At 44.4% G+C, this 15,783-nt stretch overlaps 1 long non-coding RNA gene across 6 annotated transcripts in view; it reads left to right on the forward strand.

Moving 5' to 3' along the window:
- LOC107985960 (uncharacterized) overlaps positions 1 to 15,783 on the forward strand; it is a 119,748-nt gene that overhangs the window by 48,338 nt on the left and 55,627 nt on the right. The window contains exon 1 of one of the 6 annotated variants that reach the window (XR_001739777.1): positions 2,354 to 2,453. The exons of 4 other annotated variants lie outside the window; for them this stretch is intronic. This is a non-coding gene — a long non-coding RNA (uncharacterized LOC107985960). Of the gene's footprint in view, positions 1 to 2,353; positions 2,454 to 9,110; positions 9,936 to 15,783 lie in introns of those variants that run through there. One more of the 6 variants, XR_001739778.1, reaches the window with a different exon arrangement.

The raw sequence follows: 15,783 nt of genomic DNA on the forward strand, positions 1-15,783 counted from the left end.
GTTTGCTATGATTTCTTTGTAATTCCCTTGGCAGCAGATTAATTTTACTTGACTTGGCAGCATAGGCAACTGCTACTGAGCTGCAGCCAAGGCTGGGAACTATATCATTGTGCATTATACCATGGGTGCTTCATAAAGGGGGATCTCAAAAACACTCAGGGAGGCACAAATGGTCATTTTGGATACACTTCTTTCATTTGGCCAAGCAGTTGCATTTGTTCTAAGATTATTAGTGCAAACAACATGGCTGGGTGCTGGTAGTGATTTGCTGGTTTCTCTTCATGGCTGACAGCTATGACTGGAGCTCAGCACCCTGGACCTTCAGGATCTGGTGCTGGTGAGTTTGCTGCAGCCAACAAGCAGCTTGACAGGAGCTTTCTCCAGGCCTCTTGGGAATAGGAGTGTTAGAAGGAAAAGCTCTTGATCAACTTCAAATTAAAGAAAGAGAAGTGAACAAATAAGTAAAAATAAACTTTACACTTTCTAGGGATTTAAAATGGGATCGTAGGTCCATGATCTCATTTGAGCCTCATGACAAGCAGATGAGGCTGCACAGTGAATGAACGCCTCTTATTTTGCCAGCCCAGTATCCCTTTCTTTTGGATACTGACTTTTCCCCCATTGTGTTCTGGTGGGGCTGCCAGTCACAGGACAGTCCCACCTCTCGGATCCCTTCCCTCCCTGACCCGCAACGTTGGGCATATGGCTCCGGCTAGGCCACTGAATTCTTTTTGCTGGGGATTAGAATCTTAAGGAGAGATGCCCTGGGAGAGAAAGATGTTGGAGTTGTGTGTAGAGAATGTTCAGCTCTTCCTTCCATTCTGTGAGTTATTTTAGTTTCCTTCCAGTAAAATTGCCTGAGTTCATGTGGGCTCCTGTCTACCAAAGAAACCCAAATTATAAACACCCCTTAGTTTCCAATTGCCAGGTGTTAAGCCCAGGTCCTCTTATCCCAAGTCAGTGACTCTTCATGATACTAGGTAAATGCAAAGTCGCATGGGAAATTTAAGGAAGGAAAGAGAGAGAACTGAGAAGTTGAGCAATGCTAGCAGTGAAGCTTTTTTTTTTTTTTTAAAGAAGCCAAACATCTTTCCCAATGGCGTCATGTCAGGATTCATCCCTGGGAATGCAATTCATTTTTAATGGCAGTTGTGTGAGTTGGCATGTACCCAAGTTCGCCCACAGCCGACATGGTCAGGCCAAGCCTCTTTTTAGTTTTATTCTTGTTATGCTTTCGTAGGATGTGTGTTTGCTGGTAGGCTGATTCTTAAGTATATTTACCTACAAGTGTGTCTTTGTGTTTTCTCAACTCTGTTGATTTGGCAAACAATCAAAAGTAGCTGGTGCAGTTCAGATGGAGAGGGAGGGAGGTTGGTGGGTGTGGTTAGCAAAAATTTAGCAGCAGGTAAAATTTTGGCAGGCAGGAGAAATCTTTTCAGGTAGCATATATGCTAAAACATATGACTTTGCTTTTTACTGGTTCATATCAAATAAAATTCCAGATTCTGTGCTTATGAATATACATGAATTCTATGTTAAAGGCACAAGGCTCTCTCTCCCTTTTGAGGCTGTTCTGGTACTTTCTGCAGTGGCATGAAATTAAGTGTGGAAGATCTCTTTTGTGAGAGGGTTCTCTTCTAGGTAAAACTAAGAGGTACCAAACTGCTGAACTATTAGCCTATTTAGATCATTTCCAGCCGAGGACTTACATCCTAAAGGAAGTCAGAGGTAATCTTAAGGCTTTTGGAATTTCTCATACATGATGGTTGAATGATTGAGTGAATGAATAAATGGGATAAAGAGTGAGAGGAAGCCTAAAAGCCTAGAATGCTGGAACTAAAAGGGAACCTGGTGGTCACCCAATACAACCCTGCACTAGTTATTCATAGCTGCATAACAGGTCACTTCAAATTTCAGTAGCTCAAAACAACAATAATCATTTACTATTTCTCTCATGGTTTCTTTGGGTCAGGAGTTCAGAGCAACTTGGCTGGATAGTCCTGTGTCGGGGACTCTTATATGGTTGCAGTCATATGTCAGCTGGGCTGCGGTCATCTGAAGGCTTGACTGGGGCTGGGAGCTCTGATTCCCAGGTGGTTCACTCATATAGCTGACCAGTTGGCATGGGCTGTTGGTGGGAAGTTTCAGCTCCTCTCCATGTGGGCCTCTTCATAGGGCCTCTTCATAGAGCTGCGAGTGTCCTTCAGTGTGGCAGACAGCTTTCCCTTGGGCAAGTGATGCAAGAGAACAAGCCAGAAGCTGCAATGTCTTTTATGACCCAGTGTTGGATGTCACATACCATCACTTAAGCAGCCTTCTATTGTTCAGGCAGCCCTGGTATGATGCGGGAGGGAACTACACAGGGTGCGAACACCAAGCCAGGATCACCAGGACTATCTTGGAGGCTGACTACCACGATCCCTTCTCTTTCTTTTTCTTCCAGTTTTATTGAGGTATAATTAACAAACAAAATTGTGTCTATTTAAGGTGTACAATGTGATGACTTGATAAGTGTATATATTTTGAAATATATATTTTGAAATGATTACTACAGTCAAGTTAGTTAGCACATCTATCATTCACATAGTTATTATTTTTGCGTGCGTGGTGAGAACATTTAAGAGCAACTCTCTTAGCAAATTTCAAGTATACAATACAATATTATTAATTATAGTCACAATGCTGTACATGAGATCCCCAGAACATATTCATCTTATAACTGATAGTTTGTACCTTTTGACCAACATGTCCCCATTCCCCCTACCTTCTATGAGTTCTCCGTGAGTTTGACTCTTTTAGATTATAAATATAAATGAGATCATGCAATATTTGTCTTTCTCTGACTTATTTCACTTAGCATAATGCCTTCCATCTCATCCACGTTGTTACAAATGATAGGATTTCCTTCTTTTTTATGGCAGAATAATGTTTTCATGACATAAGTATATCATGGAACATAATATTTTAAGACAGATAAAAAGGATAAAGAGATAAAATAGACACATATATACTCACCACCCTGTTCAAGAAATAAAAGAGTATCAATTCTGTTGACACCCCCCCACAACACTCCATATACCTGCCCTGATTGCATCTCCCTCTTCCTCCATCCCTTTATCCTTAGGAAAATTCATGTTCTGAATTTTGTGTTTAGGCTGCTATGCATTCTTTTATACTTCCACTACAAGTTTATGTATCTCTAAATATATGTGGTGTTGTTTGGCATATTTTGAAACTTTCTGTATGGCATCATCCTGTATGATTCTTTTGCAACCTACTGTTTTTATTCAGAACTATATCTGTGATATCCATCTATGCTAATCTGTATAGCTCTAATGTGTTTTTTATTTATATTTTTATGTTTCAAAGACAAGGTCTCACTCTGTAGCCCAGGCTGGAGTGCAGCAGTGCAATCATAGCTCACTGAAGCCTCAAACTCCTAAGCTCAAGCAATCCTCCTTCGTCAGCCTCCCAAGTAGCTGGGACTACAAGCTAATTCATTTATTTTAATGACTATACAAGTGGTCCCCAACTTACAGTGGTTTGACTTAGGATATTTTAATTCAGGATGGTATGAAGGCAAAATATACATTCATTATGCTCCTCGACTTACGATGAAGTTACATCTAGTCAAACCCATCACAAATTGAGAATATCGTAAGTTGAAAATGCACTCTTATATTTTCAACCCAGTAATGGGTTTATCAAGATGTAATCCCATCATAAGTTGAGAAGCATCTGTATAGTATTTCATTGTATGAACAAATAATTTGTTTATCCATTCTCCAGCTGATGGACATTCAGGTTGCATATAATTGTTGTTGCAATTACACACAATAATTACTATAAGTGTTCTTTCTTGTAAGCTCTCCTTGTACCCTGGTACAAGAGTTTTTCTAGGGTATAGGTCTAAATGTGGAATGGATGGATCATATGATATGCACAGCTTCAGTTTTACTCAGTCGTGTCAGTTTGTTTTCCAAGATGGTTGCACTCATTTATACAACTACCAGTAGTGATGGAATTCCATTGCTCTTGATTCTAGTAATGTTAAACTAAAAATTTCATGCAAAGCTGATGGATATGAAATGGTATCTATTTATGGTTTTAATTTGCTTTTCCCTATTAATGAGGCTCAGCATTTTTTTCCCTCACATTTGGCCATTTGGGTTTCTTCTTCTGAGCAATTTTTGTTTATATATTTTGCAAATTTTTCTATTACAAATTTTTTTCTTATTCTTTTGAAAGAATTATTCATAGATCCTGGATACTACTTTTTGTCAGTTATATATGTTACCAACATTTTTTCCTGTTTGATGCTTGTCCTTTTTACTTTTTTGTTGTCTTTGTTGAGTAGAATTTTAAAGTTAATGCAATTAAATATATCAGTCTTTTCCTTTAGGGGTTGCTTACTATGGCAGAGACTACTGGTGTCCAGTCAAATTCACCCCTTCTTTCTTTTATAGTAGAGTGAAGCGGACTGTGCCTGTGGAGTACATCTGGAAGTAATGCGTGCAAAGTCTACCTCACTTGTATCAAAGGAAATCTGTTTCTAAATGTCCACTCTTTCTCCCTGCAGTGGCCTGAAATGGCAGCAACCAGAGAGCCTGGGAAACCTCACACTGAGGTGCTCAGAGCTGCCAGCCACCTGGATCTGCCACTACCTGCAACTGCTGGCCCGGAGGCCTTTGCTGAGCTGGGAGGGAGACGTAACTGCCTTTGTTTTTTCAGCTGATGAATTATGGGGTCTTTCAGTTATTGCAGCTTAGCCTACTGAGGTCACAAAGATATTTTCTGTTTTCTTCCAAGAATTTGAAGTTTTGCTTCTTACATTTGGGTCTTTAATCTGCCTGGAGTTGATTCTCATTATGGTCAAAAATTATACTTTTAAAAAATGGATTAACAACTGTTCCAGTACCCAATATTTTTCTTTTTTTCTCCCAGATGAATGAGGCCCATAGAGGTTAAGACACTTTATCAAGATCACACAGCTGGTTAGTGAATTATAGTTTGTATGGAGAGCTGGCATTTATAATATTCTTCCCCAAAGCCTTACAAAGCAGGAATTATCATTAGTATTTGATTTTACATAGAAGAAAACCAGTGCCATACTGACAAGGTAAGCAAGTCATCTCCATGCCCTGGCTCCTCCTGTTGTGCCCTTTTATTGTGTGACCATGCCATGGAGAGATAATTAAACTTAATCAAATCTAGTAAGTATTAAGCACCTCCCATATGCAAAGCTCTGTGATAAGTGCTGCAGGCACCCCAAGGTGAGTAAGGCACAGGGACACAGCCACTGATCCAGGGACTTTACAATCTGGTCAGAAGTAAGGCAGAGTCACTTAGGAGTTTGAGAGAGAAAAAGGAGCTGTGGGGTTTGGGATGTGTGTGTGAGGACACGTTCTGCTCAGGGGATGAGGAAAGTCCTTGTGATATTTGAGAGCCCATCAGGCAGTCTGGGGGAAGAGTTTCCTAGGGGCAAGGAACTGTTTGAACAAAAGCACACAGGCTGGGTTGGGCACAGTACTCCTGGCACTGTAATTACGCGTGTAATCCCAGTACTTTGGGAGGCCGAGGCGGGCGGATCACCTGCGGTCAGGAGTTCAAGACCAGCCTGGCCAACATGGTGAAACCCCGTCTCTACTAAAATACAAAAATTAGCTGGGTGTGGTGGCATCCGCCTGTAGTCCCAGCTACTTGGGAGGCTGAGGCAGGAGAATCACTTGAGCCCGGGAGGTGGAGGTTGCAGTGAACCAAGATCGCACCACTGCACTCCAGCCTGGGTGGCAAAACAAGACTCCATCTCAAAAAAAAGAAAAAAGAAAAAAAGAAAGGCACACAGGCTGGAAAGCCCAAGGCATGCTTAGGGTACAGGCAGGAGTTGAGTTTGATTGGAGTGAGGTTGGGTGAGGGGCTGTGGGAGGTGAAGCTGGACTGGACCCAGTTGCATCTACCATCCAGCTGTTTCTATGAAAGAGCAGTAATGGCGACCAGGCATGTGGGCACCTCAGGTTACAGGGATTGCAGGTAAAAAACTTGGGGGAGTCAGTAAAATCATTTTTGCTTTAATCACCTTTTAAAATGTTAGTACGAAGTCTATATCACTGTATTTGGGTAGGGTTTTTGAACTTTATAGAAACTTATATGAAAAGCAATTCAGGAAGTTGCAAAAGACATTATCATCTTAGGAGTCCTTTCCCAGAGCCACCATCACCTCTTGTGGAGCTGGCATTATATGTGTCCATTCACAGACCTTTAGAGACATGGCTACATCTCAAGCTTAGCATCAGTTCCTTCCAGCAGAATTTCATAGCTCTCTGAATTTCTCCACCATCTTGTGCTTATAAACTTTATAACTTGACTGGTACTCTTCAGAAAAAACCTTATTCATTGTTAGGTCCCCAAAGACTGTGTCCCCTGCCAGGCACAGAGCAGGTGCTCACACACATTTGGGGAATGAGTAGCAGATGTTGGGAGGGACTAAGGAATGAATTCCTCAATGCTGCATGTGGCGACTGCTGTGGAGCAGCTGTGCACAGGACAGGCAAGACAGGATGCCCATGTGACTGCCCTCTGCTGACATGGCAGGAGGCCAGAAAGAATTCCTGAAACTCGTTTGTTTGTTTGTTTGTTTGAGACGGAGTCTCACTTTGTTGCCCAGGCTGGAGTGCAATAGTGTGATCTTGGCTCACTGTAACCTCTGCCTCATGGGTTCAAGCGATTCTCCTGCCTCAGCCTCCTGAATAGCTGGGATTATAGGCGCTCACCACCATGCCCAGCTAATTTTTGTATTTTTAGTAGAGATGGGATTTCACCACGTTGGCCAGGCTGGTCTCGAACTCCTGACCTCAGGTGATTTGCCTGCCTTGGCCTCCCAAAGTGCTGGGATTACACCTGGAGCCACTGCGCCTGGCTGAGTTCCTGAAACTTGGCGTTAATTCAGATCCACACCCAGGTGATGTCACAGAGACTTGGCCTATACAACATAGAGGTTTATTTCTCTTTCACGTTGAAGTCCAAGGCAGTCTGCGGCTTGGCTTGCTAGAGTTGTGAGAGACCTAGGCTTCTTGTACTCTGTGGCTTCACCATCCTGGGGGGTGTCGCCTTACCCACAAACTGCTCCATCACATCCACATTCTAGGCAAAAAGAAGGGGGAGAGGAGGAAGGGAAGGACATGATCCTTGTAGTAAGAGCACATCTTGGAGGTGCACATATCCCTTCTGCTCACACCCTGTTAGCCAGAACCTAGTTGTGTGGTTACGCCTCACTGCAAAGGAAGATGGGAGATGTGTAGTTTTGTTCTGGATGGCCAGTATCAAGTAAATGATCCAAGTTATGGATTATTCCACGGAAAGGGAGAATAGATATCCGTGAACAACTTGCCATTCCTACCACAGGCTGATTTTATCTAATGTAGTTCAGATGCATGTACTCAAGTAGGCAGAGAGGCAGATAGTCTAGTCTGGTTGAATAGAAAGGATTTACTTGAACACATGTTTCAGTATTGGCTAAAAGCCACAGCCTGCAATGCACCAAAAGTAGCATTGTCTTCAAATACAAAGATCAGTAACTGTTCTTATTAGTTTGGTTTGGTCATTACGAATCTTCTAGCACCTCCCAAGAGTAAAGGGAATGGTCAGTTGCATAGGCTGGTGCATCACGACCTTAAGAGCAATAGTGACGTGAAGGAGGAGAAACAGCATTTCAGAACTGTGTAAGTGTATCATTGGACATATTGCTTTTTAAGTGATTGGTCCTCTCGTGACATTTTCTACTTAAGGGGGCACAGCACAACCAGTATTGGTAGTTGTCCACCAACTCTGGTCTCCTCTTCCTCTCGGGTACATGACTAGCTACAATTCCACATGGTGGAATTTCATGCGGCCATTAAAATTTTATGCTGTTGAAGAAAATGTATTGAAGTAGGGAAATGCTCACAATATAACAATAAGTGGAACACAGCAGAATACTCAGGGGCCTGCAGGCCTTCCATGATCTGAGTCTCCCCAGTCCCCAACTCTGACCCCATTTCCGACCACATTGCCCCTTATTCACTCCACTCCAGCCACCCTGGACTCCTGAATGTTTCTCCAACATGTCCAGTCTTTACAGCCCTGGGACTTTGCTCTTGCTCGTCCCCTCTGTCTGCAACAGTGCCCTGAGATACTGCATGGCTGCTCCTTCACTTTCTTCAGTCTCTGTTTGCATCTCACTTTATCAGCAAGATGGTCCCTAACTACTCCATATAAAGATAGTAATCTCGCCTCACCCGACCCGCTGTACCCCATGCTCCAGCCCTTTTACCCTGCCTTATTTTTCTCGATACTCTTTATCGCTGCCTGGCATATGACATACACTCATGTTTATTCATTTATCCTCTATCTTCCCATGAGGATTGCAGCTCCCTGAGGACAGGAACTTTGTTCATTTTTGTATCTGTAACACAAGGTAGGCCATCAATCAATATTGTGAGATAGATGGATAAGATATGTGACTATGATCAACAATAGTATAAGACTTTTGTACAAAAATCTCATTCAAACGAACGAGGAGGTGATATACCAAATGTTAACTGTGGTGGCTCTTGGATGGCTGGATTGTTGATGATTTTGATTTTTTCATTATACTTTTCTATAATTTTGAAACTTTTATGGTAAATATGTTACAATGAGAGAGAAATCAATATGTTGTTATTATTTTAAAATTCCATTATTTACAACAATCACTAATACCTGTGCGGTCAAATGTTCAAAATTGTAGAACAATTTTTTTTTTTTAAGAGAGAGTCTTGCACTGTCACACAGGCTGGAGTACAGTGATGTGATCAGAGCTCACTGCAGCCTCAGACTCCTGGCCTCAAGTGATCCTTCTGTCTTGGCCTCCTGAGTAGCTGGGACTATAGGTGTGCACCACTACATCCTGCTAATTTTTTATTTGTAATTTTTTACAGACAGGATCTCACTATGTTGCCCAGGCTGGTCTTGAATGCCTGGCCTCAACCAATCCTCCCAAAGTGCTGAGATTACAGGCGTGAGCCATCACACCCAGCTGCAATTCTATTTTTTTTTTTAGAAGTTCTCACTTTTTCCATTTGACAAATCTGGTGACTCTTCCACAGAGCTACATTTTATCAGCTACTGCCTCCTGGTATTTCCTTCCTCTGCCTGTTCCACTTCAACAAGCACCTCGAGGCTGCAGAATTTCTTTCTGGGCTCTACATCATTTACAAAAGAGGCTTATTACTCTCTGCATCTAGTGTGTTTGGCCCAGTGCCAGAGAGATCTGCCAAGCCTTCCTTCTCTTCCTCCTCTTCCCCAGCCCAGCCTCTTCCTGGAGTTCCTTCCTGGGACCTGCAGTGCCAAGTGCTGGGGGAGATGAGGGAGTGAGTGGCCTTTCAAGCCCCTCAGGCCTCCAAGGCAGAAGGTGAAGGTTACTTGCGGGGATTAGCTGAAAACAGAGGAGCCTGATTTGGGACAATGCATTAATTCCCTGAAGAGAGTTTATCACAGGAGCTACCTCCAAAAAGTCCCACCTGCATAGGGATCTGCAGCTAGCCCTGAGAGGAAAACATATCCCAGCAGCCATGCGAACTGAAAGAGTCTTTCCTTAAAAGGGAAGTGACTCTTGGCTCAAAACCTTAGGGCTCCCTTTATGGGTCCCCTCACATTTCTTCCTAGTGTGGAATACCCAGCCACACAAGGTGAACGAAGGGTTATCATTCAGAACAGACACTATTGTTTCACTTGCCACAGCACCTCATTTATTTAAAAATAATGATCTAAATACAAAGAGTAGCCATCCTCTTGAAAACCAGACACACATCCATAATGACCAGCGGGTGCACAGGCCTGGGCTTGAAGGAAGGAAATCATCAGAAACAACAGGATAATGCTCCTCCCTCAGGGCATGGGTAGTGGTGAGCATTTTCAAGGTGAGGTGGACGACATTCAATTATTATTTATAGACCCAGTGGGGAGGGCTTTGGGGCTGCTGGGAAGCCTGTGGCAGCCGGGAACAGCACGGGCTTTGTTTGAGCAAAGATACCTATGTCCTGGGTATTGGGATGGAGTACGCGCCCCAGGCCAGCAGCTCCAGTGCACGCCCAGGAGGAGGCTTCCTCTTGCTGGCCTCTTAAACATGGCTTGCAATAGCAATAGTTGTGCCTTCTTAGAATGTGCAGCAGTGTGCTTAGGAATCCTGGGTGTCTCTGAACCATAGCTGCCCAGAAAAGAACTTCAACATGCACCCTTTGTCCTAGGCCAATCTCTACTTCCATTTCAAAATCCACAGACCTCCGAATTGGGTCCCTCCTCTGCAGTCTGAACACAGTGGGTATGTCTTTATTTATCACCCTCCATATTGTATAAGAATGATTGGATCAGGTGTCTGTTTCCCTTACTAGAGAGCAGAGTCCTTAGAAGTAGGCACCTGATGTTAACTCATATTTGTAGATCCTGTGCCTGGCACACATAGGTGCTCAATTAATAGTTCATGAATCGATTTGTGGAGTCTGTCTTTGAAAAGCTCATTTTAAAACATTCCAAATGATGGTGATTCCTTAGAAAAGTTGCTTTCCTTTTTCTTTCCTTTTTTTTTTTGAGACAGAGTCTCACTCTGTCACCAGGCTGGAGTGCAGTGGCGTGATCTTGGCTCACTGCAAGCTCCACCTCCCAGGTTCACGCCATTCTCCTGCCTCAGCCTCCCGAGTAGCTGGGACCACAGGCGCCCACCACGGCGCCCAGCTAATTTTTTGTATTTTTAGTAGAGAGGGGGTTTCACCATGTTAGCCAGGATGGTCTCGATCTCCTGACCTCGTGATCCGCCTGCCTCAGCCTTCCAAAGTGCTGGGATTACAGGCGTGAGCCACTGCGTGCCTGGCTGTTTTCCTTTTTCTTTTGAGACAGTGTGTCACTCTGTTGCCTAAACTGGAGTGCAGTGGCGCAGTCATAGTTCATGGCAGCCTCAACTTTTCGGGCTCAAGTATCCTCCTACCATGCCTGGCTAATTTTTGTATTTTTTGTAGAGACAGGGTTTTGCCACGTTTCCCAGGCTGGTCTCAAACTCCTGAACTCAAGCGATCCACCTGCCTTGGCCTCCCAAAGTGCTGGGATTATAGGCATGAGCCACTGCCTCCAGCCTGGAAAAGTGTTTTATTTAGGGCAACATTCATGGGGCTATTTCTCAGGAACCATATCTACTTCTGAGTCTTTAAATGCTGAAGAGGGAGAGGATCTCTAGGTCATCAGGACCTCAGATGGGGTTTGTTAGTATTATTTGATACAATGATTATCACAATGGAAATTTCTTACGTCTTCAACACTTCACAATTTATTATTTATTTTTACTTATTTATTTGTTTATTTATTTTTGAGATAGAGTCTTGCTCTGTGGCCCAAGCTAGAGTGCCGTAGCCTGATCCTGGCTCACTGCAGCCTTGAACTCCTGGGCTCAAACAGATCCTCCCACCTCAGCCTCCCAAGTATCTGAGGCTATAGGTACACACCACCATGCCCTGCTAATTTTAAATTTTTTTTTTGTAGAAACAGGGTTTCTAAACATACAAAAATTAGCATGTTTCCCATGCTAATTTCAAACTCCTGGGCTCAAGTGATCTCCTGCTTTGGCCTCCCAAGTGCTGGGATTACAGGTATGAACCACCACGCCTGGCCTACTTGACAATTTCAAACCCTTTCAATTTTATTGTCACATATTATCGTGTGTACTTCTTATCTGTATGTCTGGGGAGACATATTTTTAAATCTTATAAAAATCAGATGACCTTGGCAAAATGTGGTGGCTCACAATTTTGGGAGGCCGAAGCTTGAGCCCAGGAGTTCAAGACCAGTCTGGGCACCATAGGGAGAACTCATCTCTATTTAAAAAAAGAAAAAGAAAAACGTGGGTGTGGTGGTATGCTCCTATAGTCCCAGCTGCTCAGGGAGCTGAGGCGAGATGATAGATTGAGCCCAGGACTTTGAGGCTGCAGTGAGCTATGATCGTGCCACTGTACTCTAGCCTGTGCGACAGAGTGAGACCCTGTCTCAAAAAGAAAAAAAAAATAGGCTTTGTGACTTGTCTGAAAGCCATATTTTTAGAATTAAGTACCATGTTGCATGTACTCGACACATTTATTGCATACCGACTATATGCTAGGCACTGTAGAAGGCACTGGAGATACAGAGATGGAAAATTATGATCCTTCTCATATTCAGTGCATCGATACAAAGTGATGAGGACTCTATTAAAGGTGTCATTAACAGCTCTGGGAGCAATAAGCAAGAGGGCTTGATAATGCCTGGAGAGATATGAGGGAGGTGTTAGACCAAGGTGATGGTAATGTGGATGAAGATGGGGATGGTGGTGATCTCATCAGCAATATACAGTGCTTACCAAGTGCCAGGCACTGTTCTGGGTGTTTGCACATATTAACTCACTTGATCCTCACAACCACCCTATGAGATAGGGGCTCTTAATATTTCCATTTTACAGATGAGGAAAAATGAGGCATGCAGAGAGTAGGTAAATTGCTCAAGATTGCACCAGCAAGTGGTAGACATTGTCTACTATTTCTTGAATTTCTGAAACTCAAGAGCAAAACAGCAATGATAATATTGGCAAAGAATGGGGTCATCTGCTGCCACCAAAACCCACTTTCCCTGGCCCCCTTTCTGAGGTGCAGCCCATTTATTTCTTGAGCCAATCCTTGAGTTTGGCAGGGCCCTTCCTGTCCACACGATGAACCTGGTTTGTGGCACTGGCCCCATGTATCCAAACGGTCCACCATGGACAGAGGGTCATGGTTAAGATCTGGGATTTCAAATCAGACAAACATGGGCTGGACTTCTGGTTCTGTCCATTCTCAGCTATATGATCTCTGAGCCTTAGCTTTACCATCTGTAAAATAGAGATAACAGCCATGTCTGTGCCTCTGTGGCCTTTCATGTCAGCAGCTTTTTGCCCACCCCACACCCCTCACACAAGACGAGGCCCTTGAACTAAACAGACACTGAAAGGAAGGCAGCCTGGAGGCCTGTGGAGCTCCCTGGCATGATTGGAGCCATTGTTCTGTCGCTGGGGAGGGCCTTCTGGAAGAGAGGGCAGAGGGCTGCAGCACCTTTGGTAGACATCTGCCTCAGAGATTTCTTCTGCCTTGCTGTTTGGAGACATAAGCTTTTCCTTCAGAGGGTGAAGTAAGTGGAGATGAAAGAAGCTACTTCATGGAAACAACAGTTGTGACTGGCAGGAGGGCTGGCAAGAGGCCTGGAAGTAGGCTCAGCCCAGGGTTGTGTCCCTGGGGTGCACCTCAGAGAACTTGGGCCAACAGCATGCTCTCTGTTTATTCAGGAGTTTCCTCACTGAACCCTCTGAGGAAACAGCTTTGTAAGGAAAGGGAAAACATATGGGTGAGACAAGGTACTCAGTGGCCCAATGGAGCCCAAGTGGCTGCCTACAAATTGGCTCCTACCTTGATACCGAGGGGGAGAGGATCCCTCCGGTTCCTGCCCTGCATGGGCTCAGGGCCAGTTGTATAGTGCCAGGCCCTTGTGAGTGGCTGGCCTATGGCCACTGCCTTCTGGGAGACCTGGTACCTTTAGGGAGGTCCATTTACTCTTCCAGGCCTTTCAGGCCCCTTCAGTCGTTTCTGAGAGGCATTAACTTGCCTGTTTGTAACAGAAATATCCATCTCTTCACTCACTTTGCTCCACCTCTTCTTCATCCTTGGTGGGAAGAGGTTTTAAAAGCATAAAAATATACCAAAATTATGCTGTGAAATGTTATAATATGAGCAGGCGAGACGTTTGTTTTTCTAATGAGGGCTTTACTTGGAAAAAAGAATTGGCTGGGCGTGGTGGCTTACACCTGTAATCCCAGCACTTTGGGAGGCCGAGGTGGGTGGATCGCCTGAGATCAGGAGTTTGAGACCAGCCTGGCCAACGTCGTAAAACCCCGTTTCTACTAAAAATACAAAAATTAGCCGGGCATGATGGAGAGTGCCTGTAATCTCAGCTCAGGAGGCTGAGGCAGGAGAATTGCTTGAACCCCGGAGGCAGAGATTGCAGTGAGCTGAGATCACGCCACTGCACTCCAGCTTGGGTGACAAGGCAAGACTTCGTCTCAAAAAAAAAAAAAAAAAATTTTATGCCACTTTCCCAGAACAAAGGGCAGACTTCAGGGACCTCATGGCTGTGAGGTCTTGGTGATGCTGGTGATGAGGTCGGTAGGCATGAACAAGGCTGAGGGTGAAAGGAGGGAGGGAGACTAAGGAAGCAAGACTTGCTCATATTCAGAGTTTGACCCCATATGGACTGCAGTAAGTCCATCCTTACTGGAAGTCCATACTTAATGGAAATTATTTTACCATCCTCTGGGCACTCAGCTACCTGTGATCAGCTACAGGAAACATTGGGTCCTTTCGGGAATTGGACTGTGGTGTCTAGGGGAGGATGGAACAACACGGTCTCTCTTGATTCAACAGCCCTGGTGTCTCCCACATGTCAGCAGCATGCTTCATGCGAGAAGAGACCAAGGAGCTGAGTGCCTCACGCTCTTGCTGAGGAGACAGTGTCCACAGTAACAGTCGCAGCGATTGAAGGGCGATAGAAGTGAGAGCCTCCCGTGGGGGTGGTCAAGAGAGGCTTTATAGAGAGGCAGGTCTTCCCCTGGCCTCAAAGAATGGCAGGACAGAAATGGAATGGGATGTAGTGCCCGGCCAGGGAGAGGATCTCCAGGGACACAGCTGCCTAGAGCTGGTTTTAAGTGTGGCTGTAGCAAGGTCTCTGAGGGAGAGCTTAACTCTGCCTTGAGATCCTTCTTTCACCATGGACTACTGGCCCTTGATCAATCAGTGCACACGACTGGACCCAGGACTCAAGGCTAAACTGAAGGGCCTGGGCCAGCCCGGGTTTTAGGGCCCAGGAGATTCTCTGGACTCTGGGCTTCTTGGCATCCTGTTATAGAAGCACCATTTATACATTTATATTGAAAAATAAGCGCGACGGAGGGAGATCTGATGCCCTCAACAAAGCTCAGAAAGACTTTTCTGGTTGAAGAAATAAGCATTGCACACACCACAAGTGCAAAGCCTTCTGCCCAGACCCTTTGCTGGAGAGCTGTGCCGAGCAGAGGGCAGGTGGTTGTGGTGCAGGCTGGGCTGCAATTGGCTGGGCTCAGCATGCAGCAGTGTTCCGAGAGTGTGGGTTCTGCTGGTGCCCAGATGGCTTCAGGGTGCCTGATAAACTTCTCTAGCTCTGATTTTCAGGTCTGCAACCCTCTTGCTGCCTCCTTCAAGGGCTTCCACCAGAGGCGACATAACGTGGCCTGGACTGTTCTACTCTGGGCCTCACCTCCCACTCCACCCACCTTGTTTATCTGACCTTCTTCCCACGGGAACATTAAACCTCCCAGAAATATTAATATGTTTGATTTTTTTCTCCTTTGTAGCTATTTAAAAAATGTTCTCCTTTTTGTTTTCTCCTTTAAGAATTTATAGGAAAGAAGGATCTTGGAATGGTTGGTGCAGATAATGAGAAAAGATTGGGAGCTTGTTACAATGTCATGAGATTGGGAAGAAGAAATACTTCTTTCCCTTTGTCATTACAGCCAGTGGAGAAACAGTTTACAGCCATTCCGAGAAATGTGAACAATGTGGAGGGATTTAGGTAGCTCAGTAGCAGGGTGCATCCTATACATACCTTATAAGGTATACTGTAGAAATCTTCACCAGAAGATTTTATAAATAATCAGGAATATCATTTTGAAATGAGAGAAATGTGCCAGTA

This window comes from Homo sapiens, chromosome 2, assembly GCF_000001405.40.
Source record: "Homo sapiens chromosome 2, GRCh38.p14 Primary Assembly".
NCBI classification, from domain to species: domain Eukaryota; kingdom Metazoa; phylum Chordata; class Mammalia; order Primates; family Hominidae; genus Homo; species Homo sapiens.